Raw genomic sequence first — 22,793 nt, 5'->3', positions numbered from 1 at the left:
ATATTGTATATTAATATAAACAGAGTCAAACTATAGGTATAGAAAATATTATGGTTATAGCAGAAAATGAAAATTAATCAGGTCCGACAAAGTATATCTGCTCAGACATAGTGCTAGAAAAACATAAATCAAAAACATGTTTCCACAGAGACAGAAAACACACTAAACTTACTAGACAGATGTCTCTACTACTTATTTTTTCCCACTTGATAATTTCCAAATAATTCAGCAGCAGCTATAGCCAACATATTCAATTTAGTCTAGCTAGAACATCTAAGTGTCTAGTTTTCACAGTTCCCATTCTAAAATTTCATACATTTTTATTATAATTTTATATCTCAGCTAGAATAATGCTGTTCCGAAAAATTATTTTATGCCTCACAGAAGTAGAAAGGCCGGCTGTGGTCGCCATCACTCAGGGAGGGGTCAAGCAGGTGACTCTGCAGCAATCTGTCAGCACCCTGTTGTGTAGCCACCTGTAGGGAAAGCAGCTAGGGGAACCCCCAAAGCCTGAATCACTGTCTACCAAGATCAGATTTTCTTCCGCAAACTACTCCTGACACAAGCAAAATGCATTCAAAGCAGAAGAGAACAAACAAATTTAACATTCTCTCTGTAGCATTAGAGAGAAAGCAGCCAAACACATATTCTAACCTGGAGGATCTCCTTGGAGAGAAGGTTGGAACAGAAACATGGATGAAGCTGGAAACCATCATTCTCAGCAAACTAACACAGGAAGAGAAAACCAAACACCGCATGTTCTCACTCATAAGTGGGAGATGAACAATGAGAACGCATGAACACAGGGAGGGGAACATCACACACCGGGGCCTGTTGAGGGGTGGGGGGCTAGGGGCGGGATAGCATTAGGAGAAATACCTAATGTAGATGACGGGTTGATGGGTGCAGCAAACCACTATGGCATGTATGTACCTGTGTAACAAACCTGCACATTCTGCACATGTATCCCAGAACTCATGCACATGTATCCCAGAACTCAAAGTATAATATATATATTTTTTTAATGTGGGATCTGAGCTGTATTTCCAGCTACCACAAAGACAAAGAATGATCTGGGACTGGCGAGGAGAGAGAGGGCTAGACCCACCAGAAAAGATGAATAAGACAAGGCAAACTGAGATTATCTTCCCTGTTCCTGGCTGAGATGAGGCTTCTGTCTAGATTCCTTGGCCCTGAAGCACAACCAACCCCACTGCCAGAGCAAATGCCTTTTTTGACAACAGTGTCTCAGAGGACTTTTCTCCTCTTTTCCCTTGTAACTTCCAGAAATTCTTACACCTCTTTCAAAGCCTTGGGAAAAACTACTGACGGAGTGCTGGATTTTAAAACTTTCTGTGAAATACCAAGAAAAGGGGTTTGGAGCAAAGAGACTTTCTATTTAGAAATAAAATTATTAATAACCTCAAAAATAACAAAGAGTTTGACACTGGATGTGCAGTCCTCGATTGGGTCTAATGTGATATTCAGGTTTTCTAACTTCAAAAGCCTTTGAGTTGCACTGTGATAAAATTACTGGGTGCCACCCTCCCTGCTTCCTAGTATTTTCCCTGCACAAAGGTAGCATTTATTAATTCAACAAGTATTTACTGAGTATCTACTCTGTGCTAGCCAAGCACTGTGTACTGTGACAAACCAGTGAAAATAAGTTCCCTGTCCTTACTGAGCTTACATTCTATTATGGTATAATAAGCATGTTATAAAAACTTAAACTATGCAGAAATAAACAATGCAGAAAGTAAATGTCTCTGGCAGCCAACTACAATTGACCATCTGGTATATATTTCAAGTAATTTTCTGTGCACATGAGAAATATATCTACCCATATTTTTCTTTCTTTCTTTTTTTTTTTTTTGTTGAGACAGAGTCTTGCTCTGTCGCCCAGGCTGGAGTGCAGTGGCACGATCTCTGCTCACTGCAATCTCTGCCTCTCAGGTTCAAGTGAGTTGCATGCCTCAGCCTCTTGAGTAGCTGGGATTACAGGCACCCGCCACTGCACTCAGCTAATTTTTGTATTTTTAGTAGAGACAGAGTTTTGCCATGTTGGCAAGGCTGGTCTCGAACTCCTGGCCTTATGTGATCCACCTGCTTTGACCTCCCAAAGTGCTGGGATTACAGGTGTGAGCCACCGTACCCGGCCCTACCCATATATATTTTTAATTTTTTTTAAAGACAGGTTCTCACTCTGTGGCCCAGGCTGGAGTGCAGAGGTGCGACCCTGGCTCACTGCAACCTCTGACTCCCAGGTTCAAGTGATTCTCGTGCCTCAGCCTCCTGAGTAGCTGGGACTACAGGCACATGCCACCACGCCCAGCTAATTTTTATATTTTTAGTAGAGATGGGGTTTCGCCATGTTGGCCAGGCTGGTCTCAAACTCCTGACCTCAACTGATCCACCTGCCTCAGCCTCCCAAAGTGTGGGATTACAGGTGTGAACCACTGAGCCCGGCCCCTACCCATATTTTTCCATGGATTCATACTATACAATCTGTTTTGCTACCTGCCCCCTCCCCACCCCACTTTAGCAGACAATCTTGGGTTCCTTTAATTACCTTAAGATGGGCTTGCACCTTTCAAGATAATTGTTTGTTATCTTTCCCACTTAACTACTGTGGTTCCCCACTAAGGACTCATCAGGGCCTTGGGAGAAGGATGGAATCCTCCATGAAAGGCCACCTGCCCCTGGGTTACCAGTCCAGGGAATGCTCACAGGCTCTGTCTCCTAAACTGACCGCTCTGTCTTGCTTCAACCCAATGGTCAGGTCCCAGCTTTGGATTCTATTCTTGCTTCATGCCTATTAACAACCTTGGGCTACATGCTCTGAATCTTCTTCTCCACCTTCTGTTGCAACTTTCTCTCTTGCCCTGGAGCTAGGAGCCAGCCTCAACCACTCCTAACCCTGACCCAGGCCAGTTCCCTACAAGAGATAAAGAATGATAGAAAGATAGATAGTAAATAGCATTAGCCCCCAAATTTGCTAGTGGCTTTGAAATGTTTCTCTAAGATCACAAAATAGGGACATCTTGGATTCTCTCTTCACTTTGCTCTGTTTTATAGTTATTCACACCAAATCATATTGAATCCACTGATTATGAAAAATCAGTATCTAAAAATATAGTCCTTTCTATTCAACAAATGTGTAATTTTAAATTGGGTGTAGACATCTTATAATGTGGAGAAACAAAAAATAAGTACCCTAAAACATCTACTTTAGTTTTTTCCTAAACTGCAAGACCAAATACACCAAGGAGTCTTATAAAAGTCAGAGGTTGGCCGGGCGCGGTGGCTCATGCCTGTAATCCCAGCACTTTGGGAAGCTGAGGCGGGTGGATCACAAAGTCAGGAGTTCGAGACCAGCCTGGCCAATACGGTGAAACCCCGTCTCTACAAAAATTAGCCAGGCATGGTGGCGCACGCCTGTAGTCCCAGCTACTCGGGAGGCTGAGGCAGGAGAATCACTTGAACCCAGAAGACAGAGGTTGCAGTGAGCCGAGATCGGACCACTGCACTACGGCCTGGGTGACAGAGCAGGACTCTGTCTCAAAAAAAAAAAAAAAAAAAAAGTCAGAGGTTACACAGCAGTATTAAATGCTGGTAGCTGGAAGACAAGGTTAAATTCAGAAGTATGAAAGTCTGTGAATTCCTAGTCAAGCCACATTTGAGCAATGTGTGCCATCAGGAAAGTCTAGTCACAGAGGAAAGCTGATCGTTTTTAACATTTGCTATCTTCATCTGCCCTTTTAAGGAAAAAAGGGCAGATTCATGTTTTAAAATCATAAAACATAAATACAAGGTTTAAGTGGGCTAGAAAGTACAATGAAGGGCAATGACACTTTGCTCACTCACCAACTTAAACCAGAAAGGAATGAGTCACAAAAACTCGTATCACAGACAACACAATACTAATCAACATACTCACTGATGACTAGAACATTACATAGCTTATTTATAGATTATGTTGTTATCAATATATATGCTCTAAAAATATTTCTCTAGATTCAGATTTGTTAATTTAAATTAGTACTTGAATATGAGTATAAGTTAAACACTTCTCAGCCAGGTGTGGTGGCTCACGCCTGTAATCCTAGCACTTTGGGAGGCCAAGGCAGGCAGATCACTTGAGGTCAGGAGCTCGAGACCAGCCTGGGCAACATGGTGAAACCCCGTCTCTACTAAAAAAAATAAAAAAATTAGCCAGATGTGGTGGCACTGCCTGTAATCCCAGCTACTTGGGAGGCTGAGGCAGGAGAATTACTTGAACCTGGGAGGTGAAGTTTCCCAGATGGCGCCACTGCACTTCAGCCTGGGCGACAGAGTGAGACTCCGTCTCCAAAAACAAAACAAAACAAAAAAACCAAAAAACACTCCTCAGTGTAAACAAATGAGTTAAAATCTCCCAAAGTGCCTCTCTATGCCTCCCTCTTCTCTGAGGCAGGTCTACCAGTTGCTTAGAGATTCCTGAAAAAATCCTGAGCAATGTTTTCCCCATTTCCTTTCAGGCTCTCAAGTCTCTAAACAGAACTAATTATGGGAGCAAACCAAGTTATAAGTAATATCATTTTGATGTGCCTAAAATAACCAAATGAATTTGGAGCGGAATAAAAGAGTGAGTATTCAATATATTACACTTTACCCAGATTTCCATATTCTCCTTAAGAAAAGGCACTTTCTTTTCCATGGCTTCAAAATTTCTAGGAGCTCACCATCATGGCAATGTGCACACCCCAGGACTCTAGGCCTTCGAAGCAAGAATGAGGAACCAGGTTAATGGTGGCCTCTCTGCAGGGTAAGTTGATGGTTACATCTCTGGTCTCAAGTCTTCTAGTTCAGGGCTCTTAAATCTGCTGCTGCCAAGCTAAGCCTACTCCAGACATAAAGAACAATTCCCATGCTGTGGGGCTCTAGGCTGTCTGGACCAGACCAATTCCCAAGCTAGCCCTAACCAGAGTTGAAGTCTCAGAGATCCTGTAAGCTTTCAAGGACACAAGCAGCTGGCTCCCTTCTATTTAGAGATAAGTAAGTACACTCATGTGTCTTTGGCAAGAGCAAGAATTTTTAACACACAACAGCACCTCTCTAGTAGAAAAAAAAAATCTGAAATTCTAACCAATTTTTCTACAGATTTTAGCCATGAGATCCTAGAATCTCATTCTAGTGCCAATCCTTGGGCCAATGTTAGTTGTATTTGCATTCAAAACAAAAAGCCAAAAAAATATAAAGCAGAAAAAGCAAGCAAGTTGATAAAAATTTTTTAAAGTACTATGGTGTAACAGAAAGGGTTCCAGAAGTCAAAAAACTTCAGTTCTGGTCCTGGCACCGTCACCCTAGCTTGGTCACCCACACCAGCCATGTAATCTTCTAGGGTTCATTTACTTCATTGATAAAAATGAAAAACAACAGAGTTCAAGGAAGCTGGTCTAGATAGCTCTTAGATCTCTTCTACTTGCAAAAAAAAAAAAAAAAAATCATCATTCTAATTTCTACTCAGTTTTATTAAATGGTACTCTACCAAGCAAACTCTGGATACATTTCCTTTATGACTCTTTATACCAGATACAATTCAACTACTTTAAAGGGTTGATACCATATTAAAAATAAACACTATAATAAAAAAGATGAATCTGTCTTAACAAAAAAGGCAGTGGAATGGAAATAAACAGAGAAGAGACGTTTGCTTTAACATTTCTGCAGATTATGGATCACTTAGTATTTTGTTAACTCAAAGTGTTAAATTCTCTCCCTTAACAAGGAAACTGAAAGAAGTAACAATTGCCGACAAGAAACCACATGGTCTTGGGCTGTTTTGAGAGGGAACCTTGTGGCAAGTACAAACAAAATTGTTGATTCCTCTGCAGGCCTTGAAACTTCAGGACAGCAGTTCAGGTGTCGCACCCTGCTCTGCCTGATCTTAGAGAGTGATTTCTTTTTTATTTTTTTTTGAGAAAGAGCCTCGCTTTGTTGCCCAGGCTAGAGTGCTGTGGCATGATCTTGGCTTACTGCAACCTCTGCTGCTTGGGTTCAAGCGATTCTCCTGCGTCAGCTTCCCAAGTAGCTGGGGTTAAAGGTGTGCGCCACCATGCCCAGCTAATTTTGTATTTTTAGCAGAGACAAGGTTTCACCATGTTGGTCAGGCTGGTCTCAAACTCCTGACCTCAAGTGATCCACCCGCCTTGGCCTCCCAAAGTGCTAGGATTATGGACGTGAACCACCGTGCCCGGCCGAGCATGATTTCTGAATGATCGCACTGGCCTGCCATGGAATATTCCATCCTATGTAAAAATGAGTGTTAGACTAAGTTGAGAAAATGATTTTTATATAATTTAAGTGAAAAAAGCAGGACACAAAAACTGCACAAACAACTCTAAAGGCATGATCTATGAAAGAAAAAATTGACAAGCTAGACCTCATTAAAATAAAAATTTCTGCTCTATAAAAGACACTGTGAAGAGAGTAAAAAGCCTCAGACTGAAAGTATAACATTTGCAAAAGGCATTTGATAAAGGACTATTATCGAAAATATACGAAGAACTCTTAGAACTCAACAATAAGAAAACAAACACACTGATTTTAAAATGGGCTGAACTGGCCGGGTGAGGTGGCTCACGCCTGTAATCCCAGCACTTTGGGAGGCCGAGGCAGGTGGATCACCTGAGGTCAGGAGTTTGAGACCAGCCTGACCAACATGGAGAAACCCCATCTCTACTAAAAATACAAAATTAGCCGGGCATGGTGGTGCATGTCTGTAATCCCAGCTACTCGAGAGGCTGAGGCACGAGAATCACTTGAACCCAGGAGGTGGAGGTTGCAGTGAGCCAAGATGGCACCATTGCACTCCAGCCTGGGCAACAAGAGTGAAACTCCGTCTCAAAAATAAATAAATAAATAAAATGGGCAGAACTAATATCAAAAAGACAAAAAATAACACACGTTGGCAAGGATGTGGAGAGAAGGAAACCCTTAAACACTGCTGGTGAGAATGTAAATCAATTCAACTTCTATGGCAAACAGTATGGAGATTCCTCAAAGAATTGTAAGTAAAACTGCCACTTGATCCAGCAATCCCACTACTGGTTAGCTACCCAAAGAAAAAGAAATCAATGTATCAAAAATATACCTGCACTTGTATGTTTACTGCCACACTAGTCACAATAGCAAAGATATGGAATCAACCTAAGTGTCCATCAATGGATGACTGGATAAAGAAAATGTGGTATACATACACAATGGAATATTGTTCAGCCATATAAAGAATGAAATTATGTCTTTTGCAGCAACATGGGTAGAAATGGAGGTCATTATCTTAAGTGAAACAAGCCAGATGCGAAAAGCCTGATATTACATGTTTGTACTCATAAGTGGGTGCTAAAAAATGTGTACACATGGACACAGAGTTGAATGATAGACAATGCAGACTCGGAAAGACGAGGGGGTAGAAGGAGGGTCGATAATGAGAAGTTGGTTAACAGGTAAAATGTATATTATTTGGGTGAAAGCCCTGACTTGACCAATACACAATCTATGCATGTAACAAAATTGCACTTGTACACCATGAATTTATACAAATTTTAAAAGTGGGCTAAGACTTTAACAGACACCTCACCAAAAAAAGATGCACAGATGGTAAACAAGCATATAAAAAGATGTAACATCATATCATATGTCACCAGGGAAATGCAAATTAAAACAACGAGATACCACTATCCACCTATTAGGGTGGCCGAAATCCATAACACTGACAATACCAAGTGCTGGCCAGGATTTACAGGAACTCCCATTCATTGCTGGTGGGAATGCAAAATGGTATAGCCACTGTCAAAGACATTGTGGCAGTTTCTTATAACTAAACATACTCTATGATCCAGCAACTGTGCTCCTTGGAATTTATCCAAAGAAGCTGAAAACTTATGTCCACCCCAAAACCGGCACATAGATGTTTATAGCTTTATTTATAATTGCCAAAACTTGGAAAAAACCAAGATGTCCTACAGCAGGTGAATGGATAAACTTGCGGTATATCCAGACAATGGAATATTATTCAGTACTAAAAAGAAATGAGCTATTAGGCCAGGAAAAGACACGGAGCAGGCTGGGCATGATGGCTCATGCCTGTAATCCCAGCACTTTGGGAGGCCGAGGCAGGTTGATCACTTGAGCACAGGAGTTCAAGACCAGCTTGGGCAATATAGTAAGTTCCTGTCTCTATATTAAAAAAAAAAAAAAATTGCCTGGGCGCAGTGGCTCATGCCTGTAATTCCAGCACTTTGGGAGGCCGAGGTGGGTGGATCACCTGAGGTCAGGAGTTCAAGACCAGCTGGTTAACATGGTGAAACCCCATCTCTACTAAAAAACCGTCTCTACTAAAAATACAAAAAATTAGCTGGGCATGGTGGTGGGTGCCTGTAATCCAAGCTACTTGGGAGGCTAAGACAGGAGAATCACTTGAACCCGGGAGGTGAAGGTTGCAGTGAACTGAGATAGCATCTTGCACTCCAGCCTGGGCAACAAGAGCAAGATTCCATTTCGCGGAGGGGGGGGGTGGGGGAAGAAATTATAGACGGGTGCGGTGACTCACGCCTGTAATCCCAGAACTTTGGGAGGCCCAGGCAGGCAGATCACCTGAGGTCAGGAGTTCAAGACCAGCCTGGCCAACATAGCGAAACCCCATCTCTACCAAAAATACAAAAATTAGCCGAGTGTGATGGCAGCTGCCTGTAATCCCAACTATTCAGGAGGCTGAGGCAGGAGAATCGCTTGAACCTGGGAGGTGGAGGTTGCAGTGAGCCGAGATCACACCACTGCACTCCAGCCTGGGTGACAGAGTGAGAACCCATCTCAAAAAAAAAAAAAAAAAAAAAAAAGAGAAGAAAAAGAAATTATAGAAGACATGGAGGAATCTTAAATGCACATTACTAAGTGAAAGAAGTCAATCTGAAAAGGCTATGTAATATCATTCCAACCATACGACACTCTGGAAAAGGCAAAACTAAAGAGATAGTGAAAAGATCAGCACTTCTCAGGGGTCAGGGGAGGGTAGGGATGGATGGACGGAGCACAGAGGATTTCTAGGGCAGTAAAACTACTCTGTATATTATACATTAGGTAGATACATGCCATTATAAATGTATTCAAACCCATAAGACTGTTTAACACTAAGAATGAATTCTAATGTAAACTGTGGACTAACTGATAATGATGTGTCAATGGAGGTTCGTCTGTGTAACAAATGTACCACTCTGGTGGGGGATGCTGACAATGGGAAGGCTAGGCATGTGTGGGGACAGCAGGTATATGAGAAATCTGTATCTTCCACTCAATTTTTCTGTGAACCTAAAACTGTTCTAAAAATTAAAATCTATTTTAAAAAACACTATAAAATGCTATGATGACAACTATATATAATTAGCCTAAGAGAAGACAACAAAATTTTAACAGCAATTTGTATCATGATTGTGGGACTATTTTCTCTTCCTTTATCTAAAATTGTAATGATTTTTTTCACACTTAAAATATTTTTAATTGACCACTGAGGAAAAATTTTAAACCAACCTTATTCTAATTTATATTATTCCTTTGCAACTTAGTACTTAGTTAAAACAACTGATCTTCCTCATTGCTTTTTCTGTTTTTGACTAGAATTTTTCTCATGTTGGAATCAAAACCATTTTTGGCTTCCAACATTAAGTCTGTTTTTAAATATCTTAGGTAAACAATTCAGAAATCAAGCTGGTAGAAAACAGGGTCATTTTGTAAGGTATATGTTTCTAAAACCAACAGAGTACTCCAGACTGCCTTTGGCAAGTTCCCAAACTTTCTAGGAAAGGACCCTATAGGCAACACCTATTTATTCCCAGGTTCCTCACCTTCCTCCACATTTCTTTACCTTAGCAATCTACCCAGCATCTTCTGCTCCACTTTCTCCTGTATTTCCTTGTAAAGCAGAGCTTCTTCCATTCACCCAGTTCCTTGTCACCATATATCATTCATTGATTCAACATTCACTAAGCACTCTATTTTTGTAGAGAGATATTAAAAATGAAGAGAACCAGCTTCTGCCCCCTGGAACTCACAATCTAATAAGGGGGAAAGATCGTCAAAACAAGTGACTACTATATGATGGACGTCAGCACACTTTTTCTGTAAAGGGCCAGACAGTATATACTTTTGGCTTTGCAGGCCATAGTCTCTGTGGCAGCTATTCAGCCCTGCCACTGTAGCACGAAAGCAGCCATTGATATGATGTAAATGAATGAGAGTGGCTGTGTTCCAGTAAAATTTATTTTTACAAAAACAGGCAGTGGGCCAGATTTGGCCTGTGTGCTGTTGTTTGCTAACCCATGGTATACAGCATACTAAAGAATATCCCTGGAGCTGAGAGAGCTTGAGAAAGACCTGCCAGACTGCCCGCCCTTTTACAGGGAATAGCCATCAAACCTTAATTGGACAGCCAAACCGAGCTATAAGAATTCTCCTTGAAACTGGTGGAGCAGTAATGAATTTTCCCCCCAAAAGTCACTGAATTGGTTTCTCAAAAATAGCAGTTCTCACCCACAGTTTTCAGACAGACATAGCTGTAGAATGTGTTGCAATTAATCTATATTATTACAGTAGAGTTACTGGTTAGTTAATATAGTACTGGTTTTCAAATTTTGTCTTCAACACTTAGAAAAGGGTAGATCAACTTAGGGACACACGGACAGAAAGACTGGAACAACAGACACTAGGGACTTGAAAAGGAGGAAGAGAGGGAGGCAGTCAAGGGCTGAAAAACCTTCCTATTGGGTACTATGTTCACTGTCTAGGTGATGGGATCAATAGAAGCCCAAAGCTCAGCATCATGCAATATGCCCTTGCAACAAACCTGCATATGAATGCACGTGTACCTCCTAAATCTAAAATTAAAAAAAAAAGGAGAGATCAGTTTTATCGCTAAAGCATCCCTGGGGAAGTTTGTTGGCCTGAAACTGTGCACCACCCCAAGTATGCCTGCAGAAGCAAACAGTGCATGTACATACTGTCAGCCCTGTATGTTTGCATCAGAAGGGGTCTTAGAGACTGCTGAGTCCAGGCTGCTCCATCTGGATAACAAACCCACTCTCTAGCTAACAACTCAAACATGTCAGGTTTGAATCAGTCACAATCTTATTGACATGGATCAAAACATACATGAAGTCAAATGAGGAAACAGAGGCGACGGCTAAGGAAGGGTGGGAGGAAGTAAGATAAGACCTCCTCCAACCAAGCTGGATAATCTGCTCAGATAGAGGCTTTTCCTTTTAAACTCTTTCATTGCTGTTCATCATAGAAAAATGTGAAAATGTATGAAAATAAAAAGAAAAAATAAATGCCCAATACTATCAAGGGATAACAACTATTGTTAACAATTTGGTTATTTTCCCTTTAAATCATTTTTCTATGTATATTAGAAAAAATTGTTTTTCATTAAATTGCTTTCTCCTTTATTCATGAAATGCTTTGACATACTTCCCCATATTCTTTAATATGGCTTGAAAGTATGATTTTATAGTATCTATATGAAAAGTTTATCAAATGGATGGACCATAATTTATTTTAAATTTCTCCCATTATTGGATATTTACATCACCCTTTTTTTTGAGGGGGGGGAAGGAAGAGAACCAACATTTATTGAATGCCTGTACCTTAACAACAGCACTATTCTATTAGTTTTATCTCAACTTTCCAAGAAATGGAAATCAGAGGGGTCAAATAATATGCCCAAGGCCACTCAGACAGTAAATAGAAGGTCCAGGATCCAACCAAGGTGTGATTTAAAAACCTATATTCTTTGCATAGTATTCTTTATTTTATTTTATTATTATTATACTTTAAGTTTTAGGGTACATGTGCACAATGTGCAGGTTTGTTACATATGTATACACGTGCCATGTTGGTGTGCTGCACCCATTAACTCGTCATGTAGTATTAGGTGTATCTCCTAATGCTATCCCTCCCCCCTCCCCCCACCCCACAACAGTCCCCGGAGTGTGATGTTCCCCTTCCTGTGTCCATGTGTTCTCCTTGTTCAATTCCCACCTATGAGTGAAAACATGTGGTGTTTGGTTTTTTGTCCTTGCGATAGTTTGCTGAGAATGATGGTTTCCAGTTTCATCCATGTCCCTACAAAGGACATGAACTCTTCATTTTTTATGGCTGCATAGTATTCCATGGTGTATATGTGCCACATTTTCTTAATCCAGTCTATCGATCCCCTTATTTTTTATAACATTAAAAGTTGAAAATAATACCATGGGAGCTTATAAACCTACTTAAATATAATGTTGTCTATTAGTCATTTGATAGTAAGTAGTTCTCCAAAACAGAGTAATACCTGGGACACTGTAGGTCAAGGCAGAGTACGCATTAGTGACCACAAGAAGCAGCATACTCCTTAGGTGTAGGCACGGGGGCACTGGACCCATGTCATCATCTCCAGCTTACTGGACAATTAGCCATCTGGGTCCTTGAACTTCTCTACTAAAAGCAGATCAGATAGTAGAGTCAATCAATATCACAAACCATCATTTAGTAATAGCTTGACCGCTATTACTAAACTTGTGTCAGCCTGGGCAACATGGCGAGATCTCCTCTCTACAAAAAAATTAAAAAATTAGCCAGGCATAGTGGCATGCGCCTGTAGTCCCAGCTACACAGGAGGATGAGGTGGGAGGAAAACCTGAGCCTGGGGAGGTAGAGTCTACAGTTAGCTGTGATCACGCCACTACACTCAAGCCTGGGCAAAACAGTGAGATCCTATCTCAAAAAAAAAAAAAAACATGTGTAGGAGAAAGGATGGTAAATAGCTGTGACAGATGTTTTGTGTATAGCATTTAGTGAATTTGTGGGATATTCCTCTGAAATAGAAGGTAAACTAATTGGTCTTTCTCCCATGGGCATCTGGAGGAGAGTTCTCTTCCACGTGTTTTTTCTGCTGGGCACAATGGCCAGAATGTCCTAACAAATGGATATGGATGCCAGCCAGGCAACAGCAAATAGCACACTTCCAAAAGTAGCCTGGGGGCTGTGAAACCTCTAGAGCCTGTATTAGTAGAACCCAAATATACCTCGCTTAGTTTAACTGCCAATCAGAAAATTAAAACAAATTAATAATCTAGTTCATACCATTTATAATGCTGGAAAGCCTCCCTCCTAGAATAAACGGACTGCCTAAAGGGCTGCCTAAAGCAAGCCAGAGAAAGAAGAATATAACTTACTGGAAGGGGAGAGTTTCAATTGCCCTCTTGAGTTACATACACACAAAAAAGCTCCAGTTTAGATCTCAGTTTCCAAATTAAAGATCTGAGGTGAAAGGAACATATTTGTGTTTGCCTAACATAAGCCATATAAAATATAGTAAAATTAAGTCTGAGCCAGTCAATGTAATAAAACAATGTTATTCTTTTATGGCCGGGCACGGTGGCTCACATCTGTAATCCCAGGACTTTGGGAGGCCGAAGCAGGTGGATCACCTGAGGTCAGGAGTTTGAGACCAGCCTGGGCAACATGGTGAAATCCTGTCACTATTAAAAATACAAAAAAATTAGCCTGGCGTGGCGGCAAGCACCTATAATCCCAGTTAGTTGGGAGGCTGAGGCAGGAGAATCACTTGGAGCCAGGAGGCGGAGGTTGCAGTGAGCCGAGATCGTGCCAGCCTGGGCAATAGAGCAAGACTCCGTCTCAAAAAAAAAAAAAAATTCTTTTAATTAAAATGAGAAAAGCAACATTCCTAATTAAACTTTGTGTCTAACACTGTTTCTCCATGGATTTTTGTGAAAGAGATTGCTTTTCAAATCTAACTTTCCCAGAGTTATCTAGGATAATTCATATTCTAAGTGCAGAAAAACAAACAGAAAAACAAAACAAGCACAAAGTAGTAAGGACAACTTTCTCACCCCTCTCCTGCAATGTATATCTGTTTGACAGAGATTTGCGTGAACAAGCACAAACTCTTCTTTTTGTGTTTACGCCAAGAGAACTCTGGACATGCAAACAGAAAAGGACAAGGACCAAAGAAGTGCCTTACAACACGACTAGAAGAATCAAGTTACAGGTCAATTTGTCACATGTGGGAAGTAATCAGTGTCACTCATTATTCAGAACACTGCAAAGAGCTGAAATCAATGCTTCAACACAATAACACAAGGTGGCCAACAAACTCATGTAAAACACCACACGTCACTAGTCACAATATCTGATTACAAACAATCCCTACAGGCCCATATGGGAGTATGTCAAGAGTATGTCAAGTTTACTGGAAAGTGTTAGTAAGGATGCAGCATGTGCACTTACCTGACCAGTGCGTCTGGTTTGCTTAGCTGGTTATTAGGAATACAGTTTTCCATTAAGTCCTTGTGTGTACTTGGGCTCTTGCTAGTGCATTTCTGCTTCTTCTCATTTTTACTAGATGAGGAAGGAATGCTCCCATTTGTGGCGCTATGACTTCGAGGTGAAGAGTTCACAACTCCACTGGCATTTTTGTAATTTTTTGAGGAAGCAGTGCATGAGTCCTCTTTCAAGAGATTTTCTGTACTTCCCACAAGATCATTATTTAATCTTTTACTATTGATATGGTTTTCCATATACTCAATCTCTTGTATTTTAGAGTCTACAGGTTGTAGAATATTGTTGTTATTTATTCCAAGGTTGTGTTTTTTGGCATCCTTGTCCTTTTCTTTCCCTTTTTCTCGGTATTCTATCTCTGGCAAAGTTGTGGAGAGTTTTTTGTTGGCTGGGATACCTCCATTGTGGTGTATAAGGATCGAAGAATCCATATCAGGTAATCCTTTGGCTGCTACAATACCAAAAACAAACCAACAAACAAAAAGCCCCCACCGGAATATTTAGTTGTTTAACAACACAGATTAATTCAACAAACTATTATCTACACTTAAGAAATTCACATTAGTTTGCACACTCATTATACGCTAATCAAGAAGCAAATCCTCATAGTTTACTAGAAGATGTAGGAAAAAATAGAAGAAAATCCAAATACATTTGAGAAACTCTACATTTAGAAAATCATCATCATTTATGAAAATGATGGCCACTAAAGGTCTAGTCTTGAAAACAAGATCAGGGTTTTATAATTAGGTCACACTTTGTGTATTAGTCAAATCAAACTCGCCTATCACTGAGGTGAGAGGACAAAGGCAGATCCTAAGAAGTCATATTTTTTTAAGTGCCTGGAGTAAACGAACTGTTAATAACTTTACTGAAAAGAAAGAGGTTAAATGAAACAAAAGAAGAGGAATAATTTTAGGATACAGGACATCTATCCTTTTTCTGGACTCTAGTGTTGAGGTAATAAGGAAGTCTGTATCATTTACCAGACCACTCAGAAAGAATTTTGTGTATTGGGTCTACACATTCCAATTTATTAAGGTCTACTTGAAGAGATATTTTTGCACCACATCACACAAAAAGAAAATTTTGAAATATATTAAATAAAAACATGACCTCAAACTTTCAACTTTCAAACCAATGGAAACTAGCTACTGCCAATTATCTATTTCTATTGGTCAAATGCCCATGAGAGAGATTCCATTAGAAATGGTTCAATTTAAAATCTGCATTACATTATATGAAGCATTTAGAACACGACCTATCCATCTTGGCTCTATTCAGAAGACATCTGGCTTCTGAAGTTCAATTCTACATGTCTACATCTCCATTGTGCTTATACTTTGGTTCTTGGCTTGCTTCAATTACCAGTTCACATAGTTCCATAGTATTTTGTTGCTGAGAATATATATTTTAAAATACGTAAAACAGGCTGGGCATAGTGGCTCATGCCTGTAATCCCTACACTTCAGAAGGTGGAGGTGGGAGGATTGCTTGAGATCAGGAGTTTGAGACTAGCCTGAACAACACAGTGAGACCTCATCTCTACAAAAAAATAATTAAAAAAAATTAGCCAGGCATGGTGGCACGTGCCCATGGTAGCAGCTGCTCAGGAGGCTGAGGAGGGAGGATTACTTTGCTCCCAGGAGTTTGAGGCTGCAGTGGTCCCTAACTGTTATCACTGCACTCCAGCTTAGGCAACAGAGTGAGACCCTCCCTGTCTCAAAAAACTAAATTTAAAAAAAAATCAGAATTAAAATATAAAAAAGATATAAATATATTTTAAAATAATAAAATAAACATATTTAAACACATAGTCTTCAGACAGTATGTAAAAAACTTCATTCACCATCTGTATTTCATTGACCAAATAAAACAATGACCCTGAGGAGGAACACCATTAGACAGAAAAAAACAAAATCCTAGCTACTTTTCCAGAAAAGAAAATTCTACCAAGAGACAAAATAATGACTAGCCTATTGAGCCAACAGCTTTAGGGTAAAGACCTACCTTCCTCGGCCTCTTTTTCTTGCTTCTGTAGCATCTGTTGCTCTGGAGGGAGAGCTTGTTGAAGAAGTTGCATGTAAAACTCGTTCTCTTTTTGTACTTCTTTTTGCTTCCTTAACCGCATTTTGTAGCTTACGTAACTTTTGAAGCCAAACCCCAAAGTTACCACAGGGTACCCAATACTAGAAAGAAGACAATCCAGCCAGTAATTGTAGGTTTAAAATGAACCACATGTGCCTCAAGCACATGAGAATACCTATGGCTTAAAAATTAAAAATAAATTCTAATTGATGATGGTAGTTGAGAAGAGCATTCACTAGACACACAAATAAATGTAATGTCTACTGTGGAAATCAGAAGCAACTGGCACACAGAACAAAACCCCCAGGAACAACAGGACTGCTAGACCGTAAGACGACACTTCCCATTAGACGTTGGCATTCTTCAAATTAATTCAAGGAGTCACCACAGTGACTGTCAGATACAGTGGCTAATAATGCCTTTGAAGAAATATTGAAGAAACTGCCTTATGCATTAGAACTTAGGCAGATACCTGTACCCTTTTTTTTTTTTTTTTGAAATGGAGTCTCGCTCTGTTGCCCAGGCTGGAGTGCAGTGGTGTGATCTCGGCTCACTGCAACCTCCGCCTCTCGGGTTCAAGTGATTCTCCTGCCTCAGCCTCCTGAGTAGCTGGGACTACAGGCCTGCATCACCATGCCCAGCTAATTTTTGTAATTTTAGTAGAGACAGGGTTTCACCATGTTGGCCAGGATGGTCTCGATCTCTCGACCTCGTGATCCACTCGCCTTGGCCTCCCAAAGTGCTGGGATTACAGGTGTGAGCCACCACGCCTGGCCTGTATGCTTTTAAAAACTAAAAGGGTAGAGACTTTACAGGTAGCCAAAAGTAAACATAAGTGTTAAAAAAAAAAATCACAAGGACATCATTTGATTTTCAATACTAGAAGGCAGGGTCAAATTCAGGTGACTAATTTAATCTTCTTGCTGCCTGAGGGGTACTGTCACCAGCTATTCCTTGAAGATTGGTTCACAAACACTCTGTCATATATAAATTCTGTCATACATAAATTCAAGAATCATTTAAATAAGTATCCGATATGATCAGTGCCAAGATTTGGTTTGTATCACCAAATTAAACCAGCTGTACTTAGAACTCTAATCTCTGGGATAGAAAGTTAAATATTTTCATTGAACTTACCAGCCTGCCTAACATCATTTCAAAGCCTCTGCAAACACTGTCAAGCCCATATAAGTTTCACTAACATGAAAATGTATCAATTTATAATTAGTCTAAATGTGGTCTCACTACAAACTTACGGTGACATGTTTTACTGACCAAGTTCATTTAATTTACTTGTTTGTAAAAAGACTAAAAATACTGGAAACAGTATTTTTTTAGTTGATTACTGTTTATTTTGGTTTCTGCCATAAATATTAGTAAAAATTGGTGTGTTTAGGAGAAACATACATTAGGTGGTAAGTTCCACAATAGATCTAAATAAGAACCAAGCTCATTTTTCAAAAATGTTTCATGGTTAAGATTAAATGAATAATATCTTAATATTCATTAACATAAAGAGAAATAATATTCATTCAAAAATTATTAATAATATTCTCTTACTTTTATAAATAGGCTAAGGAAATTCTAAATTATTTTAAGTTTCATGAATTAGCCATATATTTCATCAAGACCTTCTGGAATCATTACCTGATTATAATAAACATAGCTAACATTCATCAGACACCTATGTGCTTGGCATTAAGTTGAATACATGTATCACTTCAGTTCCTTTTTCCCATGACCCAGTGAGGCAGGTAAGAAAACCATGGCTTAGAGGCAGTGACAAGGCAACACAAGCTGTCAGAGGACAGAGCTGGGATTCACTCATCTGCCTGAAAAGGGGGGGCTCATGGTCTTTCCAACCATGCTGTACTGCTTTCTGGATCCATGTAAAATTTCTAAGAATAAATTTACAGTTGAACTTAACATTCTACAGTGAAATGAATTATAGACAAAGAATATATATAATACTGGCTGGGTGCACTGGCTCACACCTATAATCCCAGCACTTTGGGAGGCTGAGGCAGGTGGATCACTTGAGGTCAGGAGTTCGAGACCAGTCTGGCCAATATGATGAAACCCTGTCTCTACTAAAAATACAAAAATTAGCCAGGTGTGGTGGCACGCGCCTGTAATCCCAGCTACTTGGGAGGCTGAGGCAGGAAAATCGCTTGAAGCCGGGAGGCAGAGGTTGCATAACCAAGATCGTGCCACTGCATTCCAGCCTGGGTGACAGAGCAAGACTCCGTCTAAAAAAAAAAAAAATATATATATATATATATACACACACACACACACACACACACACACACACATATATATACATACACACATATACACACACACACACATACATTTATGTAATACTTACCAGTGAGCAGCAAATGGACGACAAAGGTCTACATGAAAGTTTTTGAGATCTTTAAATCTAATGGCTGCTTCAATATAAACAAAGAGGATCCAGAGAGACACTGTAGGCAAACACACTCCCCTTTCTGTGAGAAAGCAGCAGAGAGGCAAGCATTAATAAACGATATAGTAACTAACAGATGGATTGTTTGGGAGACTAATTTGACGACAGTAACTTTCATTAAGACCTTCACCTAAACTAAATTAAAAGGCAAACTGATCCAAACTGAAAGCTTTTATATGACAAATGATTCCACAGAATCGCTGACAAAAATAAAAGACAAACATCCTGGCAAAAAATATTTACAATGTATGTAAAACAAAGGATTCATAGCCCTGACATACAAAGAGCTCCTACAAATCAATAAAAAGCTAACTAAAGAAAATAATTTACGAGTCACAAAAGAATACAGATGGCTAAAAAACATAGAAAAAGATGTTAACTACTGATTAGAGAAATACAAATTAAACCAATCAGATTCCATTTTCTTAACTATTAGATAAAATTTTTAAAGACAGATAATAGCATAGGGAGGGTATGGGCAAAGGTTCATTTTCATACTCGGCAATAATATAAATTGGGACAACCATTTTAGATAGCAATTTGGCAGTATATTTAAATTTAAATACTTGTACCTTTCTTTTACCCAGAAATTCCACTTCTTTTTTTTTTTTTTTTTTTTTGAGGGAGTCTCACTCTGTCGCCCAGGCTGGAGTGCAGTGGCGTGATCTCGGCTCACTGCAAGCTCCGCCTCTCAGGTTCAAGCAATTCTCCTGCCTCAACCTCTCAAATAGCTGGGACTATAGGCGCCCACCACCACGACCGGCTAATTTTTTGTATTTTTAGTAGAGACAGGGTTTCACCGTGTTAGCCAGGATGGTCTCCATCTGCTGACCTCGTGATCCGCCCACCTCAGCCTCCCAAAGTGCTGGGATTACAGGCGTGAGCCACCGTGCCCGGCCCAGAAATTCCACTTCTAAGAATCTACCCCATAGAAACATAAAAGAGTCTTGAGATAAATACATAAAAATATTCACTGGGCTGGGCGCAGTGGCTCACACCTGTAATCCCAGCACTTTGGGAGGCCGAGGAGGGCGGATCACCTGAGGTCGGGAGTCAAGACCAGCCTGGCCAACATGGCAAAACCCTGTTTCTACTAAAAATACAAACATTAGCCGGGCGTGGTGGCAGGCGCCTGTAATCTCAGCTACTTGGGAGGCTAAGGCAGGAGAATCGCTTGAACCCGGGAGGCAGAGGTTGCGGTGAGCCGAGATTGCATCATTGCACTTCAGCCTGGGCAACAAGAGCGAAACTCCATCTCAAAAAAAAAAAAAAAAAATTCACTGTAGGGCCAGGCGTGGTGGCTCATGCTTGTAATCCCAGCACTTTGGGAGGCCAAGGTGGGTGGATCACGAGGTCAGGAGTTCAAGACCAGCCTGACTAACATGGTGAAACCCCATCTCTACTAAAAACACAAAAATTAGCTGGGCATGGTGGTGCACACCTGTAATTCCAGTTACTCGGGAGGCTGAGGCAAGGGAATTGCTTGAACCCAGGAGGCGGAGGTTGCAGTGAGCCGAGATTGCGCCACTGCACTCAAGCCTGGGCAACAGAGCGAGACTCTGCCTCAAAAAAAAAAAAAAAACAATTCACCGTAATATTATTTGCAATAGCAAAAATTTAGAATTTAAATGTTCATCAACAGGAAACTGTTTATGATAAATCTATATAATGAAATATGTTGAAGGTTCCTAAAGAATGAGGAAGATCTGCATTGTCATGGAATGACATAAAAAAAATAATCCTTAAGTAAGAACAAGTTGTAGGACAAAGAAATGTTTCTGACACTTAAGTACTGTTCAAAAAAATTTTTTCTGAAGCACAAACTCATATTCCCTTTGTAATTAAAAACAATTTTCAAGGGAGGAAAAAGCAACTTGCAACAAAATAAGATGCAAATAAAGGCAAATGTCCACTGGCTTTTCGAATCAAAATCTGCAGGCTAGGTCCATCTATATCAGGACATGACTAATAACGGGATATTTATGAATGTGGACTACATGGGCACGAGGGGGAAAAAATCAGTGACCTGAAGGCTTTTTGCTAAGGATCTTTGGGATGAAACTAAAGAAAAATCATAGTATCTTCAAACTAGGAAGATCATTTTGTCTAACTTCCTCATTTTGTTGAAGAGTAAACCCCAGAGTTTAAATAAACTGGGCCCAAGTTCACAGAGACAGTACTAAATCTGCTTCTAAGGAGAACCTCCCTTAGTCCTAGTACCTGAGTGAAGTTGTCACTGGATGCTCTGTGAAGCCAGCTAATGGTCTCAACCACTCTTATGAATTTAACATATCAAAAATAGGTACTTTTTTTCCTTTTCTTTTTTTTTTCTTTTTTCTTTTTTTTTTGGAGACAGAGTCTCGCTCTGTCGCCCAGGCTGGAGTGCAGTGGAGTGCTGGAGTGCAGTGAAGTACAGGTGCAATCTCAGCTCACTGCAACCTCTGCCTCCTGGGTTCAAGCGATTTTCCTGCCTCAGCCTCCTGAGCAGCTGGGATTACAGGCACACACCACCATGCCTGGCTAATTTTTGTATTTTTAGTAGAGACAAGTTTCGCCATTTTGGCCAGGTTGGTTTTGAACTCCTGAATTCAAATGATCCACCCGCCTTGGCCTCCCAAAGTGCTGGGATTGCAGGTGTGAGCCACTGTGCCCAGCCCAAAAATAGGTATTTTCACAATGTAGGAGGAAGAACAGCAACCCACAGAACAATGCATTTTCAAAATCATTTCAAAATGCATTTTCAAATATTTATCTGCCCTATTCTCTATATTAATTTATAAGGTTATTATAAACATAATAAGCACATTACAGAAAAAAATAGAAAAATTAGACAAAATACCTGTATTCTACATCTATGAAATAAACAAAATCACATTGAAAGCATTTTTGAGCAAGTATAATAATCATATTGTACGTACAGTTTTATATCCTGTTTTTTTCCCCTCTTAACCACCAGGAAAAAAGCTTATGCTACAATATTATTCTTTGTAATCATATGTAATTTCATCAACCATTCCTAATATTGTCAGGAAATAATTTTAAATTTTAACAACTACCCCAAGTTATAGGAATTGCACTCATATTTGTCAGCCCAATAAGAGTAGTTTTTTGTTTCGTTTGTTTAAGCACTAGTCATCCCAAATTAAAACATATTTCATAACTTAGCTATTCCAATATGCATTTCTGAGCCTAGGGCTAAAGATGGGCCAGTAGCATTTTATGACATTAGCTACACTGCTGCCCTGTGGGTCAACCACTGAACTAGTTTCCAATAGGTTCTATTAATAGTTATATGGTTAGTTTCTTCTCCACTACTAAGATATTACTAAAGAAATTTAAGAAATCGCCACAGCTCATCAAAGTCACAGAATATTTGAGGTGGAAGGTTCTTTAGCCATTATTTAGATTACTACACCTTTATATAACAGAGAAGCTGAGACCTAGGGAGAGTGACGAGTGTAAAAGGCAGCTCACTAGAAACTGAGGCCCAGGATAAGAAAATACAAATTAAAAACTGGTGGGAAGAAAAATCACTTTAATTAGAGGAAAGCAGACTAAAGAACCTTCATAGTAGCTTATAAATCAAGTCAGATATGAAAGAGTGTGAAACATGGAGAAAATCATGCTCATAGCAGATACTTTAAAAAATACAGCTCAACTGTGTCTTCTACATGGGCCAACATCATTATCTTAGCAGTTCTGAGAAGAGGATGAATATTGGTCCAGACAGCTTTTATTATTATTTGGTGCTCCCTCTCTGGTCAAAATCCTACAGGTTGTAGCTAGGCCCAAGAATCAAGTTTCATGCAGCTTTGCAGACAAATTTGACTCTGACAGCCAATCCTCAAATCCTAGTGCA

General features: G+C 39.9%; 1 protein-coding gene across 3 annotated transcripts in view; it reads right to left on the bottom strand.

Annotated features, from left to right (window-relative positions):
* MACO1 (macoilin 1) overlaps window positions 1-22,793 on the bottom strand; it is a 69,313-nt gene that overhangs the window by 26,995 nt on the left and 19,525 nt on the right. For 2 of the 3 annotated variants that reach the window (NM_018202.6, XM_005245931.3), the window contains exons 4-6: window positions 18,833-18,956; window positions 16,384-16,562; window positions 14,323-14,824 (exon numbers count right to left, since the gene is read on the bottom strand). In NM_018202.6, coding sequence (NP_060672.2) covers window positions 14,323-14,824; window positions 16,384-16,562; window positions 18,833-18,956 — 805 coding nt within the window. The remainder of the gene's footprint in view (window positions 1-14,322; window positions 14,825-16,383; window positions 16,563-18,832; window positions 18,957-22,793) is intronic. The other variant, NM_001282564.2, reaches the window with a different exon arrangement.

Source organism: Homo sapiens, chromosome 1 (genome assembly GCF_000001405.40).
Source record: "Homo sapiens chromosome 1, GRCh38.p14 Primary Assembly".
Classification (NCBI taxonomy): Eukaryota; Metazoa; Chordata; class Mammalia; order Primates; family Hominidae; genus Homo; species Homo sapiens.
The sequence above is the reverse complement of the archived record's forward strand: the minus strand, read 5'-3'. Positions and strand labels throughout refer to the sequence as shown.